Genomic DNA, 22922 nt, shown 5'->3' with positions numbered 1-22922 from the left:
TTGTACAATTCACACTCTCTCTTGATTTTAAGAATACCTCTTAGAAAAGCTGAATTTCCCTTTGTTTTTCTTCTTAAATCATAGAAATTAATAACAAGGCATGTTGCTAGTTAAAGGACACAGAGACAAGGAGGTTGGCTTTTTTTTTTTTTTTTTTTTTTTGGCAAAACCTTCATTTTGCGTATTCAGATCCACTTCAGGGAACCTTAAGTCGTTGAGTATTTTAAATATGCCTCTTTTCTTTTTCAAAGTATGCATAATAAATGGTCCCTTGAAAAAGTAATACCCAGGAGAATCCCTGTAATTTTCACATTGATTTTTCCCTTGCCTTCCTGATCTCAGCCTTATCTTCTCTTGAAGTATTTAGGTTCTTCCTGGTTTGTGAGCTATTTGTGCCCATGTCTTGGGTTGAGTATTCTGGGAAGCAGACACTGAGATGAAGTAAGAAATACAAATTTTATTGAGGAGCAATACCTGTGAAAGGAAAAAGGGGAGGAAGTAGGATAGAAAGAGGGAGCTTCTCAGGTCTACACCAGCGAGGATGACTAAACATCTTGGTTTGCCTGGAAATTTTCCAGTTTTAGCATGGTAAATCCTACATCCTGGGAAATCTCTCAGTCCAAGCAAACTGGGATAGCTGGTCATTCTACGCTAGCCCAACAGGAAGCCTAGGAACAAAGATTACCCAACGGGGAAGTCCTGCTTTGGGTGGAAATTGCCAGGCCCATGTATAATCACCTTGCTTAGTCATTGCATGGGGTCACCCCAGGAAGAATGTGATCTCAGTTACCACCTGGCTCAGTCACTGGGCAGGAACCACCCAAAAGAACATGACCACAGCTTGAAAGCTGAAGTGGACCCTGAAAGAGCTGGTAGTTGGAGGCTTCAGCTAACCACACCCCCTGCAACTGGGCAAGTCTCTTCTTCAAGGGAGGTCTGAGCAGCACATCTCCATGTCTGCACACTCCCCATACGGTCTCTAGCACAGTGAGTGACAAGACAAGGGCACCATTATCTTGCGTACACCTGTCTGAGAACCCACCAGAGGATGAGCCTTTGGTGGGCAAAGAGTATGTCTTTTTCTATGTTGGAATCTGCCAGCACTGTGATTTGCACACACTCCACAAAAGTTTGTTCAATTGAACATGAGCTACTATAATGTGGAAGTTGATATGAGTTGAGACCAACTACATGTGAGGGTGTTTATTGCTGAAAATGCTGTGTTTAAACTGGACTCTACTTATGATACTCTTTTATATCATGGACTTCAGGGAAGGGGAATACTTATTTCCACTTGTTTTCATGTTGATTAGACCTCCATTGGTTTACCACTCTTGGCTGCACCCTGACTCCTCACTCACTTTCCTCCTCCTACCAGGGAAGGGGGAATTATTCAGTGGCAAGTTTGGGAAAAAGAACCTGGCTTGTGCATTGGGCTCAGGGAGGATTATGGTTGTTTAACTGGCCCTGTCTAGAGGAATGGCAAGTGTAATATAGAAGATAAGAGAGTGTCTGCAAGTTCATTATTGCTATAGACCTGAGTTACATTCCCCAAACAGCTTTATCAGACATAGATGCAACTATTTTTATCATAGTCTCTCTGATTTCCTTATCTGGCTTTTTGTTCTCAAATTAGGTAGGGAAGAGAGGGCTATTATTTATTAAACATCCCCAAACCCCAAAATTCCAGAACAATACTACAGTCCTGCTTCAATGTACCTGTATTTGCTTTATTTTTAAACAAATACAAATAAAAATAAAAATTTAAAATAAAGTTCTATTTTCTTTTGGATCTTCTTTATTCATTAGCCATTTTAAACATTTTCCTAGCTTAGAATGTAGGCAAGAAATTGGTATCTTTAATTAAAGGCATGAGAACATCTTCAGCCAAAGATGCATATGGCTAAAGATATCGCTAATAAATTTGTTAGAGATAAAATGATAACTAAGACTTCTATCTGCATTTTCTGGCAGATAGCAGTCATAATTACACTAACTCTCTGAGTAAAGGTGATTCACTCAGTCAGAAACCAGAGTAAATGGCTTACGTCCTTCTCTTTTAGGAATCTTGTCTTCCTAGGTGCAAAATACCATGGGAACTATGCTCTTTCTTTTAAATTCACAACTTTTAAAATATAAAATATAGTATAAAGCATTTATAGTTTTACTAGAAAATTAATTTGAATCTAAATCTAATTAAGCCTCTAGATTTATGTGCCAGTCTTCAGGAAATATGGTGATAGAAGAACCTGCTAAATGATGCTATAAGGATACAATCAGCCAAATTCTGAATTGGAAAATCCTACACGAATAATTACCCCATTTTTTTTCAACAAATATATGGCATAGAAAATGAGAGAATGGTTATAGACTGACTGAAAGACATATCAACCAAATGCAACGTGTAGGCTCCTTTTGGATTTTGAGTCAAACCAAACAACAATAAAAAGATATTTGTGAAATAAATATTGAAGAAAATCAAATATAAATGTACTATTGGTGATATCAAGGAATTATTTTTAATGTATTGAGTGTGATAAGGGTATTGCGGCTATGTGTTTCTTAAAAGACCTTGTTTATAAAAGACACAAGCTAAAGTATTTACCAGTGAAATAATATAATATCTAGTATTTGCTTTAAAGTATTGACATATTAATATATCACTTGTGCAATTAAAAATAAGTTAAAATGCATTGCAAACAATTTTCTGTTGTGGTATGTTCAGAACATAGCAAATAAACGAAAGAAATCCCATTTACTAAGCTCTTGCCTTTTTCCAAGCAGAGAATAGAATCTATATTATCTCATTTATATTCCAGACAACTCCAATAGGTAGACATTATTATCTCCACTCTGCAGATGGGAAATTGAAGCTCAGTTTAAGAGGTGGTAGAGTCAACATTCAATTTAGAACCAATGTTTTTTAGAACACCACAGTTCTTTCAGAAGAGAGCTTTGGGTAAATTCTTCCTAGAGGGAGAGAGATAGACCAGATGTTTCTCAAATGTATGTAGAACATACAAAATGTTTCCTGCAAGTCTAATGGTTTTGTATAGCATGGAGCATATCAGTCTATTTCCTCTTCTGGCCTAGATTGCTCTGCCCAGAGCTCCCAATGCAGGGAGACACCACAGGGTAGTTCCTGTTTAGGAGCAATGGCTGGTTGGATTAGAGTAGATACCCGATCTAAACCAGCCAATGAACTGCCTGGCTAGCTACTAAAGAGATTCTCTTTCTCTTAAGCATTTAAACGGAAAAATAGAGAGAATATAGTTAGTAATAGATGCTGGAAATATAAGATTTTGATGTCAAGGAAAAGATCAGGGCAGCCATATTTAAACATGCAGAAGATGAATAAGCTGAGTAAATGGACTGAGAGAAAAAAAAATGAAGCAGACATAAGAGGAGAAGCTGAGATAATGTGGCCCTAAGTCATACAGAGGGTATGGTTTCTGGCTTATGTACTAGTTTTGAATGTACAAGAGATGTCCTGTTATAATTTTACAATACTACCATCCCCTTTTTCCTTGAGTTAGTTTGAGTGGCTTCTGTTCTTTGCCAACAAAAGAGCCTTATCTAAAACAATTAGATGTGATAACCCTTTAAAGTTATCACCAGATTTAGTTCCAAGATCATTTTACATAGATCATTCCCCACTTGCTACCCTCTGAAAGAAAGAGCTGTCCACTTTTCATTGTACTCAAGAGATAGACTAGTCTATGCCTCATTCCTAAATTTTCCATTGCTTTCCTGTTTCCCTCCTTCCATCATGCCCAATTCCAGATTCTTGATTCATTTAAATCCAATCCTTCCAAATTTCAGTTTAAGTATCATCTTGATGAAGTTTTGCTGACCAGTCTAGGCCTTAATAGTTCCCATTCTTTCTCCCAACCTGTCTGACTTTTATGACAAGATTATCAGCTCCTCTCATTTTCTGCTTATTATGCACTATCTTGAATTGTTTGCTAGTTTTCTATGGGTATGTCTTTTCTTTCTTCTTCCATTTTTAAGTTTTGTAGGTACATGGCAGGTATATATATTTATGGGGCACATGAGATGTTTTGGTACAGGCATGCAATGCATAATAATCACATCATGTAGAATGGGGTATCCATCCCCTCAAGCATTTATCCTTAGTGTAAAAAGCAATCCAATTATACTCTTTTAGTTATTTTAAAATGTACAATTAAATTATTATTGACTATAGTCACCCTGTTGTGCTGACAAATAGTAGGTTTTATTATTCATTCTTTCTAATTAGTTTTTGTACCCATTAACCACCACTGCCTCCCGCCTATCCCACTACCCTTCTCAGCCTCTGGTAACCATCCTTCTACTCTCCATGTCCATGAATTCAATTGTTTTGATTTTTAAATCTCCCAAATAGAGCATGCAATGTTTGTCTTTCTGTGTCTGACTTATTTCACTAACAAAATGATCTTCAGTTCCATCCATGTTGTTGCAAATGACAGGATCTCATTCTTTTTTAGGGCTGAATAGTACTCCACTGTGTATATGTACCACATTTTCTTTATCCAATCATCTGTTGATGGACGTTTAGTGTGCTTCCTAATCTTGGCTATTGTGAACAGTGCTGCAACAAACATGGGAGTGCAGATATCTCTTAGATATACTGATTTCCTTTCTTTTGGGTATATACCCAGCAGGATTGCTGGATCATATGGTAGCTCTATTTTTAGCTTTTTGAGGAACCTCCAAACTGTTCTTCATGGTGGTTATACTAATTTACATTCTATGGGTATGTCTTTTCTACCTGACTTTTTCTTAATTTTCCTGAGGTCAGAAGCTTACATGCTTTCCTCTTCTCTTTTTCCTGTCTCACTAAAAATGTTCCAGGTTCCTTGCTCTGCAAATCACTTATTTCAAAGTAGGGACTCGGCAAATACTTGCTAATTAATTGATGATTAGTATGTGACTTGCCGTTGTGTCTCTTATTTCCAACTTCTCACAAATGAGAGAGAGAAGTTTCCCTTTTACACATTAAGTCAGTAAAAATCATTCTTCAATAGACTGACAAATTTGGTCCTCTGACAATATGGGGCTCAAACAATTGTTTCCCACTTCTGAAAACATCTGTGCTTCATTTTTCTTATACAAACATTGGAAAGGTCACAAAACGTTCTCTGTGGGAAGATTAATTTGTCAAAGAGATTCTTGGCAACTAGAAGTAGCTGGCTGCCACACTCTGGGTTGGAAACCTTTGCCCACAGAAAGGTATGTCTTTTATTCAAATATGGGCAGTTTGTTTATTTTTAAGGATCCAGCATTTCAGCCCTTATTTGTCCATAATTACCTACGGAAGTCTGTAGGAATTGTTGCACTACAATATTTTTAAAACTCCACTGCAATCCTAATGTATACTATGTGGAGAATACTGAGGTGAAGACGATAATTAAACAAACTAAATGGTCTCTAGGGTAACTGACACATTGCCTGCCTTAAAATTAGAATTCTACCTGATGAGATTTGACAAAACTACTAAACATCAGCTTTATTTTCTCCTGAGAATAGCACCAAGAATTTTTCTGAACAAGTAAGGCAATTATTAGCTGGCTTATATGATGATTATAACCCAGAGCAATGGAATCTTATCTCTCTGAGCTATTACTCCACAAATGGAGAACTTACTGGTCTTTGGTGCCAATCCAACTGTTATCTTTAAGTATGTAACAGATTGCAGTTATGCTTTTCTGTTTTCTCCAGGATAAATATCTCCAATGCTCCTTTTCACCTCTTCTTAATATACTCTAGTTTCCTCTGGGCTCCAATGCAGACCTGGGATCAAGAGATGTAGTTCCTAATGGTGATTCTCCCAACTAGTTGTATGGTCTTGGATGAATCGTGGACTCTGCACTTCAGTATTCTCATCCTTGAACAGGAGACAATTCTTTACCGACAAGGAGCTCGTGGGGATATGTTAACAAAATAACTAGAAAGAACCCTCTAGATATTAGGTATTACATTCCCCATTACTTTAAGAACTGAGGTGCTACACTGAATGAACAAACAGAACTCACATCCCACTTCGCTATTCTACCCTCCAGAAGGGACTTGCAATTCTTAGCCTCAAGCTTTTGAGGAACCTCTAAAGAAAGGAGTAAGGAGTCTTTGTGGTAATTTCAAGTAATATTGACAACATCGATGAGGGAAGACTGGGGAGAAGTGGAATAAAGCCACATCCTGTTAGAGAAGCTAAGGAAGAGTCAAAAGGTATTCCTCCAATAGGAACGAACAAAGGAAGGAGAGCAGGGAGGTTCTAGAACTTTGGGTGGCTTGTTGCATTTGGGGAATATTAATATTTGGGAATCTTCAGGTTGTTTACTCCAGCAGTCCTCCATCTTTTGGCTCCTTTTCTTCATTGCTTTAATTTGTGCGTGAGCACCAACTTCTTGGAAAACCTCAATGATTCAGAGAGACTGCAGAAGCTAAGCTGGGGAAAAGAAATGTCTTGGGATTTGCTTTTGGCTCAACAGGGAGAGGTAAAGTGTTGGAGAGGGGTGAAACTTTAGTTTTTCCCACCAGGATGGGTAAAAAAGAGCAGTAATATGGGGCAGGAGAGAATTTCTGTCCCTGCATGGAGGGAACAAGCTTTCAGCTTTATAGCTCACAGGTCTGAGTGTGTGATCAACAGGGCATGGAGGGGTGAAGAGCTCCAGCAAAAGGGCAATTAAATAAATAATTCCCCAACTTTTCTGCTGTCAGACATGAGCAGGAATGCCTGAGGGACTAAAAGGAAAAGAGCAGAATCACTGGGGAAATAAGGGGATGGAAGGAGGGGAAGAGAAAAAAAAGGAACAAGAGAAAAAGAAAGGAAACTTGAGGATAGGAGAGAAGGAGGCAAGGGAGAGGAGGAGAGGAGATGAAAGGGGAGAAGACAGAAAAGATGGAGAAGAGAAGAAAGGAACAAAAGTTATATTCCAGCTAGCAACACAAGTTGGGCCAGTTCCCTGCAGACACATTCATCTGGACCTTGTCAGTCTACTCGGATGCCCAAGAAGAAGCTGGAATAAGGGTGGTGGGAAGTTGGAGGGGGAGTGGGGGCACTTAGGGAAGTATACCAACCCCCATTCTTTAAAAATCCTTGAAGAACAGAGCTTTAAGAAAGTAATAACAAATTGAACATACACCTACATTGTATGTATGTTAATGTATAAATTATATATATGTACTACTGTACTAATATATTAGGTACAATTTCATTCTATGTTACCAGGAATTATTGTTAATTTCATTCAATGTGATGGTGGCATTGGGTTGTGTAGAAGACTATCTTTGTTCTCAGAAAATATACACTGAAATACTTAGGGGTGAAAGGTGAGGATGTTTGCACCTTACTTTCCAAAGCTCAGCAAAACAAAACACAACAACATACACACAGAAAGAAAGAGAGAAAAAAAATCTAGGAAATGGTAATTGCTGAATGTGGGTGGGTATTATACAAGAGTTCATAAACAAGTCAGGGAGAAAACATATGCTAAAATGTAGAATTTTTAAAAGATGAGCTAACAGTAAAATAAAATTTTAAAGCCTACTTTAAATATTTTTTGTTAAATATTTTATCCTAGTTTATTGTCAGTGAACCTTTTGCCACCAGAAAAGCTTATTATAACTGTGATGTGATTGAATGTGTCATATCTGATTAGAGCCTATACCGGGAATGAGAGAAGTGTCTTCTCTGTTATATTCATATTACTCTCTTGGGCTTGCAATTTTAATATCATCTACAATCTGTGGGGTTTGGTTTTGTCTATTTTGTTTCAGCAGGAATATTTTTAAGCCACTTGCCCATTTGAAGAGGTTACTTTAATTAAAACTAGATTATGCACAACAAGCATCACTTGGCGATGCCTTCCCTTAAGCTAAAAGTGCAAAGAAGAGTAAGGGTGTCCTATTTGAGCCTTCTAGATAGTGGGCCACTCACTCCTGCTGCCTGAGCCACATGTGATAAGGAATCCTCTGATGTGGGTGAGCCTCAGTTTGGATACTACATATTACTCATGTTTAATTCATCCTTCTATTAAAATAAAAATCAATATAAATAGAGGCTTTGGTACTTTCCTCCCTTATCTCTCAGATCAGGCCACACCTCTCCGGGAGCATGTGAAGTTCACTTTGGGGTTCATTGTCCCAGAAGACACTTTCCAGAAAACTTGGCTAAGGTTTCAAAGGTTCTCTTCACCCCCATATACACGCCTTGCAGTTCCCTATGGCCTGAGGCCTAGAGCAGTGTCTGGGCTCCTTAAAATATTCAGAGGCCTCAGGGCCAGCAGTGGTCATCTGAGTGAGACTTTGACCTTAGAGCCAAGGTGAAAAATGGCACCAGTGAAGGACTAGAAACCAGAGGCTGGAACAAGGCTAGAGAAAGAGCTACTGACATTGAGAAGGTACTGATCCTGGGATATGAGGGATGTAGAAGCTTAGGGATAAAATGGAAAGAGAGATGCAATTAGTTGTTGGACATCTTATGGCACTTTCTCATAAGGAGTTGGGCAACTATTGACCCTTGGGCCAAAAATGAGTTTCAGCAGAGTGATCCAATTTCAAAGCTCAATGCTAATCCTGTAAGGGAGCCCATCAGAAAGGTATATGCAGGATGAAATATTACAGTTACCAGTGGATATGTTTGAAATGACAAAGGAAAGTAGTAATCCATTTAATTTCAGTAGGTGTTCAAACATCCTGGCACACATTGTTCATTCCTCAAAAATGTTATGGAGGAAGAACATGTATTTATAACTTGTTAAAATTTTATGAGCCAAAATGTTTGAAAAACATTTCAAAATCCCATTTGCAAATTGTAGTTAGACACAGCCTGCAATTACTTTACTGCGTAGCAAAGAAGATACACAGAGAACGGGGGAAAAAAACAAATCACGAAGACAAAGAAAAATTAACCGTGCTCTAGGTGGAAGGGATAATAGATTCAGGGTCATAAATTGCCTTTGTAAATTGTCGTTCACCTCCAAACAGACCCCGAGGCAAGGATTTAGGTGCAAGTAATTTATTTGGAAGAAGATGCCAGGAAGCACAGGGAGGTAGAAAAAGCCAGTAAAGGGCACCACGGTGGGCAACTGGGGCACATTCTTGCTGGGAATCCCCTGAGAAACCACAGTTAACACGTTCCAGAACTGTGCCACCAAAGGATGAGGTGGGTGGGGTGTTTACCCACCAACTCTCATCTCTGGTTGACAATTGTCTGTTGGTGGTAATTCTGGGGCACTTCAGCCTACCCCAAACCTTTCCTTGGCCAGAGATCACCCTTGGTCAGAGAAACACAGGAAGCCCAGCCCTCTAAGTGACCTCTGAGTTGTGCCAGGGGATATGGACACCCTCACTATGTACATTTTTTCTCCTGATCCGGTCAGTTTATCAAACACATATATAGAAAATGAAATATCACAGATAATTTTCAGTTTTTAAATATATTTCAAATCATTAAGGATAAAAATGGAACTTCTAAATTATCATAATAAAATACATTATCATTTTTTTCCAAAATAAGAATCATTACAGCTCAAAAATACCATCATGGCATATGAGTCACTGTGTCTAATTATAAAAATTTAACAGCACTAGATTTAAATAAATGTTTGGGAAAGGTTTTATAAATGGTGAAATGGTGACCCAACTTTGTAGCTTACTGGGACCACTGGCCCAGGAGGTTGATCCTGGCAGTGCTGGTGAGGCATCACCATATGGTGCAGAGGTCCAAGACGGGGAGAGAGGGACTGGATGAAGACTGGGAACCCTGCACTCTAGTCCCACTTCTATGATTAACTGTTTTTGTGAAAGCATGTTGTCTCCGTTTCTTTTTATTTTTTGTTATTTAACAAAAACTTACATAGTACTCACTGTGTGCCTAGCACAAAGTTCTCGACACTTTTCAAGAATTAGAGGAAGCTTTCCCTCTGCCCCTACATAACAATACTAGAAGATAGGTATTACTATTGTCATCTTTTTCTTAACACATGAAGAAACGAAGGCACTGAGAGGTTAAGTAACTTGTTCACGGTCATACAGCTAGCAAGTGGAAGAGCTGGGGTTTAAACAGAGACCATCTAGCGTCTGAGTCCATACTTTAAACTGCAAGATTTTGATGCCTCCATTTTCTTCATCTGTGAAACAGAGCTAAAGATACCAATCTTACTTAGTATGATGAGGATTTAAATGAGCTAAATTTTTCAAACGCACTTTGAAAAACAGCATTATTTAAATCAGGGGTGCCCAATCTTTTAGCTTCCCTGGGCCACACTGGAAGAAGAAGAATTGTCTTGGGCTACACATAAAATACACTAACGATAGCTGACAAGTAAAAAAAAAAAAAATCTCAAAAAAATCTCATGTTTTAAGAAAGTTTATGGATTTGTGTTGGGCCGTATTCAAAGCCATCCCGGGCCGCAGGTGGTCCGCAGGCTGCGGGTTGGAAAAGTTGGATTTAAATAAAAGGTTATTATTGTATTTCCTGAAAAGGAAAGCGAGTCCACTAGAAAGTCAACTTCTACGACAACCTCTTGGCTCCCCTATGAACCTAAATAGCAGTCATGCTAACGGTGCACTCACTCTTTTGACTAGGAATCGTAACATGTCATAAAGAAGTCAACATATATTATTTAATTACATCATTACAAAAATTACAACAGTCCTATGATATATGAAAAGTAGATGATCCTCTCCCCATTTTAAAGATCAGGAAACTGAAGCTTACAAAGTGGTTTGCCCAAAGTCACATAGCTGACAACTGGAAGAACCAGGGCTCAATCTCAGACATTTCTTCAAATTTAATGCTTTTGAATTTATCCCCACTATGAATAATAGTGATGTACTAAATGTGATCCCCCAAAATTCATAAATAAAACAAAAGAAAGCAAACAAAAGAAAATGACAAAAATAAGGGGACTTGTTGCTTAATGGGCATACAGCTTCAGTTTGGGAAGATGAAGAAAGTTCTGGAGAAGAATGACAGTGATAGTTGCACAGCACTGTGAATGTCCTTACTGCCACTGAACTATACACTTAAAGATGGTTAAAAGGGCAAATTTTGTTGTGTATATTTTACCCCAGTACAATTTTAAAAAGAAAAAAAACAAAACAGCAAGAAAAGAAGAAAGGGAAGAAAGATGAAATAGTTTTCAAGCTTGTTATCATGCAACTTCAGGGTTATCGTAAGAACTAACTGAAATAGTCGCTTTGAGTCAGCAAAAGCATCAACAAGGAAGGTGGTTAGGAGGCATTTAGCTATTTTGAAGGACGTTTTTCATTCAAAAAAGTTATTATCAAACTACAAAGAGCTTATTGTAAAATCTTAGTAGAGAATTCTAAAAACAAACAAAAATCATCTGTAAGTTTTGCATGTCATGTTTTGATATATTTCCTTCCAATTTTTCCTTTTGTCTTTTGTACAGAATTGAGAGCATACAATTCTGTATCTTTTCTTAATGATCTATAGCATAAACATCTCCCAGTTTCACACAGATGTCCAAGACCCTTCTAGCAAACAGGCAGTGCTCTGCTCATGCTTCTGGGCACCATGACTTTTCAAAGAACCTTGGTGCTCGCTAGAGGGCAATGTCCCTGCTTTCACAGGTTCTTCCTACAATTAGCTTCAGTGCAACACATCATGCTAAAATGACACAAAGCACCCCCTACTTCCCAAAAAGTAATACCTCTAGCATATACAAATCCAAATCCAAAGCATACCTTAAGCAGCTACTTTTGCATGGTCCTATGCTAGGTACACAAGAGTTTAAACAAAGCATAAGCTCTGGACACTCAGTGACATTTATGTTCATTCCATTTTGGAAATTAAGAAGGTTGATGTACCCTGAGTAACAGGAGTATCAGTTTCTTAAGGGTAGAGTCTAGGTCTTGTTCATTTTCTGCCTACTTTATTTATGAAATAAATAAATGACTAAAACTAAAAGTCTAGAACTATTCATCCAATTTGTCTGGCCTGTGATGTCTTCCTTTCAGATAAGGAAATGGGTTCAAGATGCTCAAGACAACCCATTCCTCCCCTGCCATGCTCCCAGTCACACACACTACTCTCAAGCCCTTTTACCCAAAATCACTCTGGATACCAGCTTATTAGCCTTTTCCCAAGAGATCTCCTAGAGCCAAAACACTTCCTATTTCTCTAATCATTTCAAGACTAGAAAAATCACTGGGGGTAACCAAAGAAGTGATTCTCCCAAACTCAGTTCCTCTTTTTGACAATTTTAAGGCAACTTGCTCACATGAGCCTATAATGAAAAGACCTTAGAGAAAGCAGCACTTTGCATGATGGAGAAACATTAAAAGGAGGTGGTGAGAAGCATCTGTTTACACCTTTACTTCCCTAGTAAACAATTTACCAGGCCCTGCCCTCATGTCTGCCACCCATGGAAATTGGAATCCAGCTAAACCTCCATTTAAAACCCTCTTACTTGTTTCATTTAAACAACAGTTAGCATCACACGGGACCCAGGTCATGCTGGAAAGGACACTTGGCTTAAAGACTTCAGCTTGATTCTCAATTTCACTGTTTGCTAATCGTGTGATGTAGAACCCTCATTTCACCATCTAAAAACAGGGATAATGATAAGGATTCCAAATGATCTAAAAAGTTAATGTTCATGATATGACAGTGCCTCAAAACCCTGAAGCATCACACAGATGTATGCCTTTTCTTTATAATATTCCTTAGGAAGTCTGTCCTGGCTAACTGGAAAGGGGTCGTGGATTCCCCTAGGTCCCACTCCATTCAAATAGGAAATTCTCACTGCTAAATAACCACCCCAGAAAGCATGCACACTCTATATCAGGGACAGTAAACTAAGACCCACCAACCAAGTCTGGTCCACTGCCTGTTTTTATATGGCCCGTGAGCTAAGAATGGTTTTTACATTTTAAATGGTTGAGAAAAAAATCAAAAGAACATTTTGAGATGTAAAAATTTCATAAAATTCAAATTTCAAGGTACATAAATAATGCTTTATTGTATTATCACCGTGTATATTTGTTTACACATTGTGGCAGATTCCACCCTACAAGGGTAGAATTGAGCAGTTGCAATAGAGACTGTATGGTCCACAAAGCCTAATATGCTGCAGAAAATGTTTGCCAAAAGTTTTACCGTTTCTGTTGTTCTCTGCCTGTCCACACCAAAGCTGTTGGTTCCTTCTTTAAACAGAGGTAAGCTCATTTTCCATCTCACACAGCACCGTCTGTTAGACTTATTAATTTGTGATAATGAAGACAATAGGCCACTGACCCCTGTCGTTGGTCTTCCAGTACTAAGCACTCATCGCTCAGGATGCTTAGTCTAACAGCATATTTAAGTACTAATTTGGCATCTCAGGCTCTGCTTGGCACCATGGATATAATAGTTCCCGGCCATTGAGGGTTTAAAATCTAATTGGGGAAGCAAGATACATCTAGGAAAAGCCCTTAATGAGCCATATAAGAATACTGACATATGCCTTTATGAAGAGCTCTTAGAATAGATGCTGCTAGGTCAGCATATAAAGTGCTGCTATCCTGGTACAGACAAATGAGTCAACGTCTAATCACAAATCTGTTTCATATGTAACTATGGAATATAAAACTTAGAGGTCATAGAAGAGGAGACTGAGACCAGAGACTGAGGCCCAGAGAAGTCCCACAGCCAGTTAGCTGAGAACCAAGACTAGACCTGGGTCTCTTGATCCCCAAGTCAGCAGAGATTTTTATGTTTACCTATAGCACTTTAGATGCTCGGGTCTTTTTAAAGCACAAGTAAAGAATACTTAAAACTAAATATTGACTGTACTTGTCTTCATCCCGCAGTACATGTATTCCTTAAATCATCATTTTAACCTTCAATTTCACTTCTGTTCACAATCTAGGAAAGAAACGATGCCAAATTCTGATTTTTCTGTTTTTCTATGATGTTTCCAAACATTTAAAGTGTAAAGGGAGAAGAAAAGATAATAATGAAATTCTTAGAAATCTGTTCTGATCACCATTCATTTAAAAAGAAATAAGCATTTCCCATATGTACTCATGGGGTAACTACTGTGATTTTGTTTTGTACATAATTTTCTATTGTTTTAAGATTGTATTTAAAGTATTTCTCATAACAGAGGCCTGTGGCTAATATGAAACAGCCTGACTCAATTAAAAAATCACCACCACCAAACGGAAAAAAGAAACCTTGAAAAGCTTAAAGTTGATCTGTAGTTATTCTATTTATATGTAGACAGCATGAAGAAAGAAGTGAGTCACATACACACAATATTGTCACAGTAAATTCTCCTTACATTGGAAAATAAATTCTTTATGTGACAAATTTTGCATTTTTCCCCTACTTCTTTCCCATGTAATCTTTAGCTATCACCACTGGCCAGCTAGCCTGAGTACAATACAAAAACAATATTAAAAAAGAGAAAGAAGACAAAGAAAGACAGAAAAAGTAATAAAGATGTGAAGTTTAAAGAAATGTACCTTAGGAACATTCTGGCTCTTTCCTTCCCATGAAATTTTAGCTGTTATCAATCACTGAATAGCAAAATGTCATTTGTAGCTCCTGCTTATTGGGGCTAAAAGTCCTGGCTTAGTTTAAAGATCCCAGAGGCTTTGATGTACCTACATGCTTGGCAGTGTCCCCTGCGGCAGGCATCAGTTGAGATTCCTGACTTATTCACTTTGAGGTTAGCCAGAACTCACTTCTCTCACTCAAAATTGCTGAGATAATTTGAGGCTGTGAATGTTGATCCCATAGGCCTGAATAGGTAGCTCTGAATGCCTCTTTAAAGAAACTGGGATGTGTGTAGTTTTGAGGGCAGCAGATCAGGTCTTTAAGGGAGGTAGTAGTATAGGATGTACTCTTTTTGATGGCAAACTCTCCTGGAAGGAAAAGTTTTAAAAATCTATTTGAAAACATCAGAGAAATACCAAGGTAATAGGGATTTGAGAGTCCAAAGTCCTGGAGAGAAATGATGTGCAAAAACGTGAAGTTGTTATTCAGCATCATTTCCCCCTTAAGGCATTAACCAAATGTCAAGCAGCAGCAGAGAAAGTGAGAGCTGATCCGAGCTTCCAGGAGTTTTAGGATGAAGGAGAACAATAAGTAGAGTCCAGGGCCCACCAAGGAGAGAAGCCCAGGTTAACACCTCAGGCTTTTAGTTGAGATGCCTGAAAGGGTAAGCCTCAGTGACAGGGGAAAACTAGATTAAATAGACCAACTCTCACAAAAACCAAAGTCCATCCTTCAATCTGTTCAATCCCTGACTGCATCAGATGTAATGCCACTTCCTAATTACCTTCAAGAAGCAAAAGCTAATCTCTTCTGGAAGATAATACCATCTAGAGCCTCAAATTATCTATAATTCTTGATACATAAATAGAAACAGATTTATAGAGGTTCTACATATTAGGCTTACCAGAAAGGTATTTTAAAATATATTCGGACTAATTTGAGAAATTAAACTACAAGATGGAACAAAATGAAAATTCTAGAATTGCAATATATAATAACTGAAATGAAGAATTAAATGGAAGCTTCAGAAGCAGCCTAGACACAACTGAAGAAAGGATTAGAGAACTGAAAATGGCCAGACTGAAGTACAGTGAGGAAAAAAAGATGGCAAATACAGAAAAGAGAGTAGGAAATTTATGGGACATGGCAAAATGGTGAAATGAAATTGTGCTTAAAATACTTCTCAGTAACAGAGGTCTGACTCTAGTATGAAATTGCCTGCCTTAGTAAAAGCAAAGATAACCAAAGGGGAAAACACTTTAAAAGCTTAAAGTTAACCTGTAGTTATTCTATTTATCTGTAGCCAAGACAAAGAAGGAGAGGAAAGAGATAATGAGATAGAAGCAATAGTTGAAGTTGTAATGGTTGAGAATTTTCCAAAACTAATTAAAATCTTCAGGCCACAGATTTAAGAAATGCTATGAACTCCAAGCAGCAGAAATACAAAGGAAATCATGCCTAAGTGCATCATAGTAATACTGCTGAAAATCAGAAAGAAAGAGAAAAATCTTAAAATCAGTCCAAGAGAAAAAATCAATACTATTAAAGGAGCAACAATAAAACTGACATATGACTGTCAGATACAGTAAGAGGACAATGAATGGCAACTTCAATGTGCTGAAAGATAAGAACTGCCAACCTAGAATTCTATGCCCACTGAAAATATCCTCCAAAAGTACATGAAACAAAGACACTTTCAGACAAACAAAGACTGAGAAAATAGGTACACTAAATGAAATACTGAAGGAAGATCTTTGGGGAGAAGTAAAGTGATCTCAGATGAAGCCACAGAGATACAGGAAAGAATGGAGAACAACAGGAAAGGTAAATAAACGGAATCTAAATCTAAATCTAAAGGTAAATATGTGAGTATATGTAAAGTATGTACAAACAGTAAAAATAATGTAGGTTTTTAAATCTAGAGAGAATTAAACTATAGAATCACAATAACCAACAAAAAGGCAAGAGGGAATTTTAAATGAAGTTAAAAGTGTCCTATTATTTTTACATTGTCCAGGAAGTAGGAAAGTTCCAATTTGTAGTAGATTCTATCAGGGATACACGCTGTTGTAAACTCTAGGGAAGCCCCTAAAAGAAATTAAGAAGAGTTTGTATAATTAACAAACTCAGAGACAGGGGAAATAGAATAATTAAAATATCTAATTTAAAAGAAAGCAAGAAGGGAAGGAAAAAATATTATGAAACAGGTGAGATCAATGGAAATCAAACAATAAGATGGTAGATTTAAATCCAAATATATGAGTAGAATTGAATTTATGAGTGTCTGTGTTTATAGGGCAGAAACATGTAGCCAAATTACAAATAGCGAATATATTTGTGTAAAGTCACAGATGTTGTGCAAACTCACAAAATACTGACATTGATGGAGATAGCACAAAACTCATAATGTGAAGATATCCATGAAAAATAGGTTACTAGGAGTCATCAATTGAATAAGTATTTAAGATTACTCAACGCAGAAGAAAACTTGAAATGCTTTGGGTTTTTACAGTCCAGATAAGAAAGAAATTTGATAATGGCTTTTCCAAGTTTGATGTTAATCCTAAACATATATATGACACTACCAATAATGAGATATGAAGTTGAAAGAAAGTTTTTCTAATCTCTCATTAATAAAAAGACAATTTTAATCAACCATGCTAGAAGACTGACCTCCTCCTTCTATTTTCTCTATAGAAATGGATTTTACCAAATAATGTCATTTTAAAGGGAGACAAATGAGGATGAAGCCAAAATATTTAAGAAAACAAGTATGACAGAGGTGTGTCAGACAGTTATTTAATAGATATTATATTCTTTTTCTGGATTTTATGATGTTGGTGAAATTTAGCAGCTTATTTAAATGAGAGATTTATTATGATTTCTAAATCTAATGTGTGATTTCTAAAGGTTTTAAAATATCCACTTCTCTCCCTAATTTTGTAGTCATAATTTTATTTGGTTTTTCTTTAAAAATGCCCCCACTCCAAGAGTCCCCATAAAATCTGGATAAACTCTTGTCATCTAGGGTTGGAACCATTGTTCTCCTGCAATCACTCTGTTAATCATGAAAAGTAATGAGCAACATGATTTACAGACCATAATCCAGTATTCTGGGTTTACCCAGTAGGACCTACTAGAATTCATTAATTCCTTTATTCCTCTCTTCATGCATCCATCCATTCATCAATTCAACAAATGTTTATCAAGCACCTACTACAGGTTAGGGACTGTTCCAGTGTCAGAGAATACACCAAAGAATGAGATGGCCTCCCACTTTTTTGGAGCTTATATTCTAGTGGTGGCAGACAGACAGTAAACAAACAAATGAACAAAATAATTCTCAAGAAAATAATACTGGATGATATTTACCCAAAAGAAATGAAGACATATATCCATACAAAAACTGTACAAGAATGTTTATGGCAGATTTATTCATAATCACCCAAACCAAAAACAACCCTAATGCTCATTAACCGGAGAATGGATAAACAAAATGTGGAATATCCATACAATGGAATCCTTCTCAGCAATAAAAAGAAATGGATTACTGATACGTGCAAAAAGTGAGTTAAAAGAAGCCAGACCTAAAATAGCTACATACTATGTGATATCATTCACATGACATTCTGGAAATGATCAGTGGTTGCCAGGATCTGTAGGTGGAGGAAGGAGATAGATTACAAAGGGGCATGATAGAATTGGGGGATGACGAAAATGTCCTCTATCTTGACTGTGCTGGTGGTGGTAGTGATGTGACTGTATGTTTGTCAAAATTCATACAAATGTAAAAAATTTATTGTATATAAACTACGCCTCAGTAGACCTGAAAAAAAGAAATTGGATTATGGGGTAGTATTGGTTATTTCTTCAGATTCAGTGGCCAAGGAAGACCTCCTACAGGAAATGATGTGTAATATGTGAAACGAACTTCTTCAAAATCCCTTGTTCTATTATTACTAGGAGATAAAAAGAAGAAATGGAGAATTTTTTTTTCTTTTATTCTGAAAAACATGTGTTTTAATTAAGAGAGAATTTACGCAAACCCCACACATAGGAGGACTTACAAGCTCAAAAATGTAAATTTAGCCTATTTTCAAAGGATGTTATTGACAGGCACAGTTCAAAAATCCTCAGCAGGGAGCCCTTTCAGGCTATACTCTATGTTTCATGATCAAGCTTGTGCTTTCTTTTTTGCCTCTATGCATATTAAGTTGCCAGAAATGATACTTAATTAGTCACATAAAAGCCTAACACTTTAAAAGATAACAAGTGAGAGACAAGGTCAAAGTTCTTTGCTGCCCTTCTCCTCTCCTGATCCGCTTGAAAGAGCCTTGCTGGGAAACCTCACTTCAACAGCACCTGTCCTCTCATCATTCCCAGAGGCTGCTGGCAGCTGTGGTAGTTCCACTGCCGTGGAGAGACATGAGTTGAGTTTCCTTCCAGAGAGGGGCAGCATGTGTTTCAGAAAAATCAAACTATACAGAAGTTATGAACTGGCAGCTTATGTAAACTGGTTCCAGCAGAGGGACTTTCTTGTAAAGCATTTCTAGAAGGATGCTTTACAAGGAATGATATTAAGTAAGTCTTCTCTTGTGAGAAAGGGGCCAATCTCCTTGCAATCAATGAAGCTGGGCCTCCAGAATGGTAAAGGAGCCTTTGGAATTACTGGGGTGACCCCATTAGAAGGGGATTACCCTGGAGTCACTCAGGGTATTTTCCTTCAGAAGGGTAGTTTTGGCATCAGTAGCTCCCACTGTCCAGAAAAGGGAAATGGAATCAGACTCTGTGTTTGATGGCTTCTGAAGAAAAGTTTCCAGTTCCCCTGAAGGAATTAAGACTTGGAATGAGGATGAAAGGGTTCTTTCTAATCTGAGTCCATTCTGAATTTGTTGTGACAAAGTTAAATCCCATCACCTCTTTTGGTCTCTGTGTCAAACAAGGGTGTGAACTTCAAGATGACTTTTACTTCTAGCTGCTGGACTTTATCCTTTTGTCACTGCTCAAACATCAACCAAGGTGTAGTTATTGTACTCTTACTGAATGCAGAGTGGGCCTGGCTACTGTAGAAGACACAGATCCCTATGAACCACCCCATACGATTAAGGAAGTATAAAACACATCTCTAACAAAGACCTAGTAGTACAGGATAGATTTGGCATTTAATGAACAATACAGGCAGAAACATCTTAGGAAGGGAAAAAAAATCAATGAAAGCCAAAGATCAGGGAATGCTTCATAGAAGAGAAAGGACTTGAACTATCCCTTGAAGGATTGATAGGATTTGGGTAGATGGAAAGAATAGGGCCCAGCCATCAGAGAAGGGGAAATGAAGTTAGAGGGGGAGAAGTCTGGTGGCACATGTGGGAGGCAGTGAGAAGAGTTTGGCTAGAGCAGTGTTTGTTCTGGCAAGTCTTGGGACAGGGGGATATAAAAGAGAGACTGGCAGCTGGAAGAGGACCTACAAGAAAGAATGAAAGGATCAGACACAAGTTCACAGTGGAGACCTGGAAAGCTGACCCCTCATGTCTTTGGAAAGCCTCAAAACCTCATCAATGGGATGCCTAAATTCCCCAAGCCTGTGACTACAGATGATATGGGGCTGCTTCATTTCTTCCCTCTTCACTTGTGTGTGTCTTCCAACAGAAGATATTTCACAGACAGAAAGAGCCTGTGCAGCTGGGAGGCATTTGATATTTGCCTATCTGAGGAATTCCTGATACCCTCTGTGAGAGAGAGGAGCAAACGTGTATCCTGGGGAAGAAATTTGGACCCCAAAGCATATAGCAAACTCTTTTCTAAACTGTCCAATAGAGCCCTCTGCAATGACTGAAGTGTTCTCTGTCTCCACTGCCCAATAGAGTAGCCACTAGCCACATGTGGCTACTGAGCACTTGATGTGTGGCTGGTGTGATGAGGAAATGAAATTTTCCATTTCATTTAAATTAAATGCAAATTTAAATAGCCACATGTGGTTAGTGGCTACCAAGTTAGACCATACAACTCTAGATGTCGGGAAAGCTACAAACCATGTTATCACATACATTCCTTGCAGAAAATTCAAAGAATCTGTACTTCAAGAAGTTTGCAGAAATATAACACCTTCCTGTTTCTTTCCACATTCCAAATAACAAAGAAACTTATAACCAGTCTTTCCATAGAATCAAAGAAGAATCATGTTACAGTGGAACCGCCATATCCATCTGTCCTTAGAATCCATTCTGCCAGCCCCATTCTAGTAAAAATAACACTGAATAATGGCACTGAAGCAGGCTTGATATAACTTGGGCATTACATATATTGTCAACATTAAATTCAGCTTTAAACCTTACACTTACTGGAAAAGAAAACACAAACCACGCTCACCCTTTTTCTGTTGAGGGTCCAATTCAGGTCTCAAATTTCATTTACATAATAATGAGGCACCTAGCACAAAGGTGGACATCTAATAGGAAGGACCAGTATGTAAAAAATATCTCCATCTATCCAACCATTCATCCATCTATCCACCCATCTGTCCACTCATACATGTAACCCACCCAATCAGCCAGCCAGCCATCTATCCATCCATCTGTCCACTCATACATGTAACCCACCCAATCAGCTAGCCAGCCATCTATCCATCCATCCACCCATCTATTTATCCCCTGAATCTACTTACTGACCCACAAAAAATAGTTTTTCTTTCATTTACCCAGATAATGAGAGCTTAATAGAGAACAGATGAGCAGGTGACTATGTGATACGTTATTGTTATTATTATTATTATTATTATTTTGGGATGGAGTCTTGCTCTGTCATTCAGGCTGGAGTACAGTGGCACAATGTCGGCTCACTGCAACCTCCGCCTCCTGGGTTCAAGCAATTCTCCTGCCTCAGCCTCCCAAGTAACTGGGATGACAGGCTCCTGCCACCACACCCGGCTAATTTTTGTATTTTTAGTAGAGACGAGGTTTCACCATGTTGTCCAGGCTGGTCTCAAACTCCTGACCTCAAGTGATCCACCCACCTTGGCCACCCAAAGTGCTGGGATTACAGGCGCGAGCCACTGCGCCCGGCCAATACATTATTTTTAAGAGTATGCTTTCAGATTAATCCTCAAAATAGAATGAAGAATAAGAATGAGGAAAATTGTATGCATTAACTAAACGTAATTTTAATTAGTCAATATTTATTGATCACCCATTTGGCACAAGAAAACTTGAGGGGCACTATGGAAGATTTAAGAATATATTGAAAATCTCTGCCTTCAACATTCTTAATAATCTACCTAAAAAATGTAAAGCAATGAATATATGAGAGGCTAAAATAAACAGACAAACAAAACACTTCCAAACAGCAATATAAAAGGTGTCACAAGATAATTCATGTCTCAGATAATAAGTCTGATATTTCAAGAGGGTCAGGAAATTTGAGCTAGAATGGCTCAACTTAGGGCTTTAAGGAGGAGATTTGAATCAGATTCTGAATGATAGACAAGAAGATAGAAAAAACAATCACAAGATTTTAGAACTTGAAGGGACCATAGACATTGCCTAGCTCGACTCCATCATTTTATAGATGATTAAACTAAGGTCAGAGAGTTAAGTGACTTAGTCCCACTTTCTCATACGGGTAGTAATGGCAGGAAAATGTCTAAAATGCAGGTTTGTTGATACCCATTCCAAGCCCAAATGCCACATGGGATGAGGAATACAGTCTGTATTTAGGAAAGGAGAAAGCATTCTGGAGAGCGGGTGGGACACAGCATAAGCCAGGAAACAGAGCCAGGAACACATCAGTGCAACCACTGTGTATGAGGATATCAGTGTGTGTGTAAGGACAGAAAGCATGGGAGGAGAGGGAGGATGGGGATCAATATTGAAGGTGGTTGAATGCAAACCTACAACTGCTCAGCTGTGCAAATCCCCAGAATTCTGGTTTCTGGGACTGCCTTGAAGTCTCCCTTTTACCCGGTGATGCCAGTGTAAACTTTTCTAGAAACTTGATATTCTTTTCATATTGACAAAGACTCGAATTCACCCGGTGAAGGGGGGAACTGCAGAAGGGAAGCTGGAATGAGGACTGGCAATGCTGGGCAATGTATAGGGGGCAGGGATGGATGGTTATCACTATGTGCCCCACTCATGCCTCAGAACCCTGAATTCAGTAGATTTAGGACAGGGCCTAGGAATCTGTATGTTTTTAAAGCTCCCCTGTGACTCTGGTGATCATCTGGTTTGGAGGGTCTTCTAGTTCATTCACTTTTTCACCAATCTACCTAATACAGACTACCACCTTGAAAACTGACAATATTTAGTAAATATAGGCCCCTATAACCCAGCAATTTCACTCGCAGACATATATCCAAGAAAAATAAACACTTATGTTTCCCCAAAGACATGAATAAGAATGTCCAGAGCAGGTT

The 22922-nt window shown here is 38.2% G+C and overlaps 1 protein-coding gene across 1 annotated transcript in view, besides 1 other annotated feature; it reads right to left on the bottom strand.

Moving 5' to 3' along the window:
• Positions 1-22922, bottom strand: part of GRPR (gastrin releasing peptide receptor) — a 29954-nt gene that overhangs the window by 3711 nt on the left and 3321 nt on the right. The window lies entirely within an intron of this gene.
• Positions 11614-11683: a silencer, noted in NCBI's record as "silent region_20677". NCBI's record gives its function as "represses an Ori minimal core promoter by ATAC-STARR-seq in GM12878 lymphoblastoid cells {active_cell/tissue: GM12878}" and the evidence as "EXISTENCE:reporter gene assay evidence [ECO:0000049][PMID:35858748]".

The sequence above is a fragment of the Homo sapiens genome, chromosome X, assembly GCF_000001405.40.
Source record: "Homo sapiens chromosome X, GRCh38.p14 Primary Assembly".
In the NCBI taxonomy this organism is placed as follows: domain Eukaryota; kingdom Metazoa; phylum Chordata; class Mammalia; order Primates; family Hominidae; genus Homo; species Homo sapiens.
This window is presented reverse-complemented; position numbering and strand designations above follow the sequence as displayed.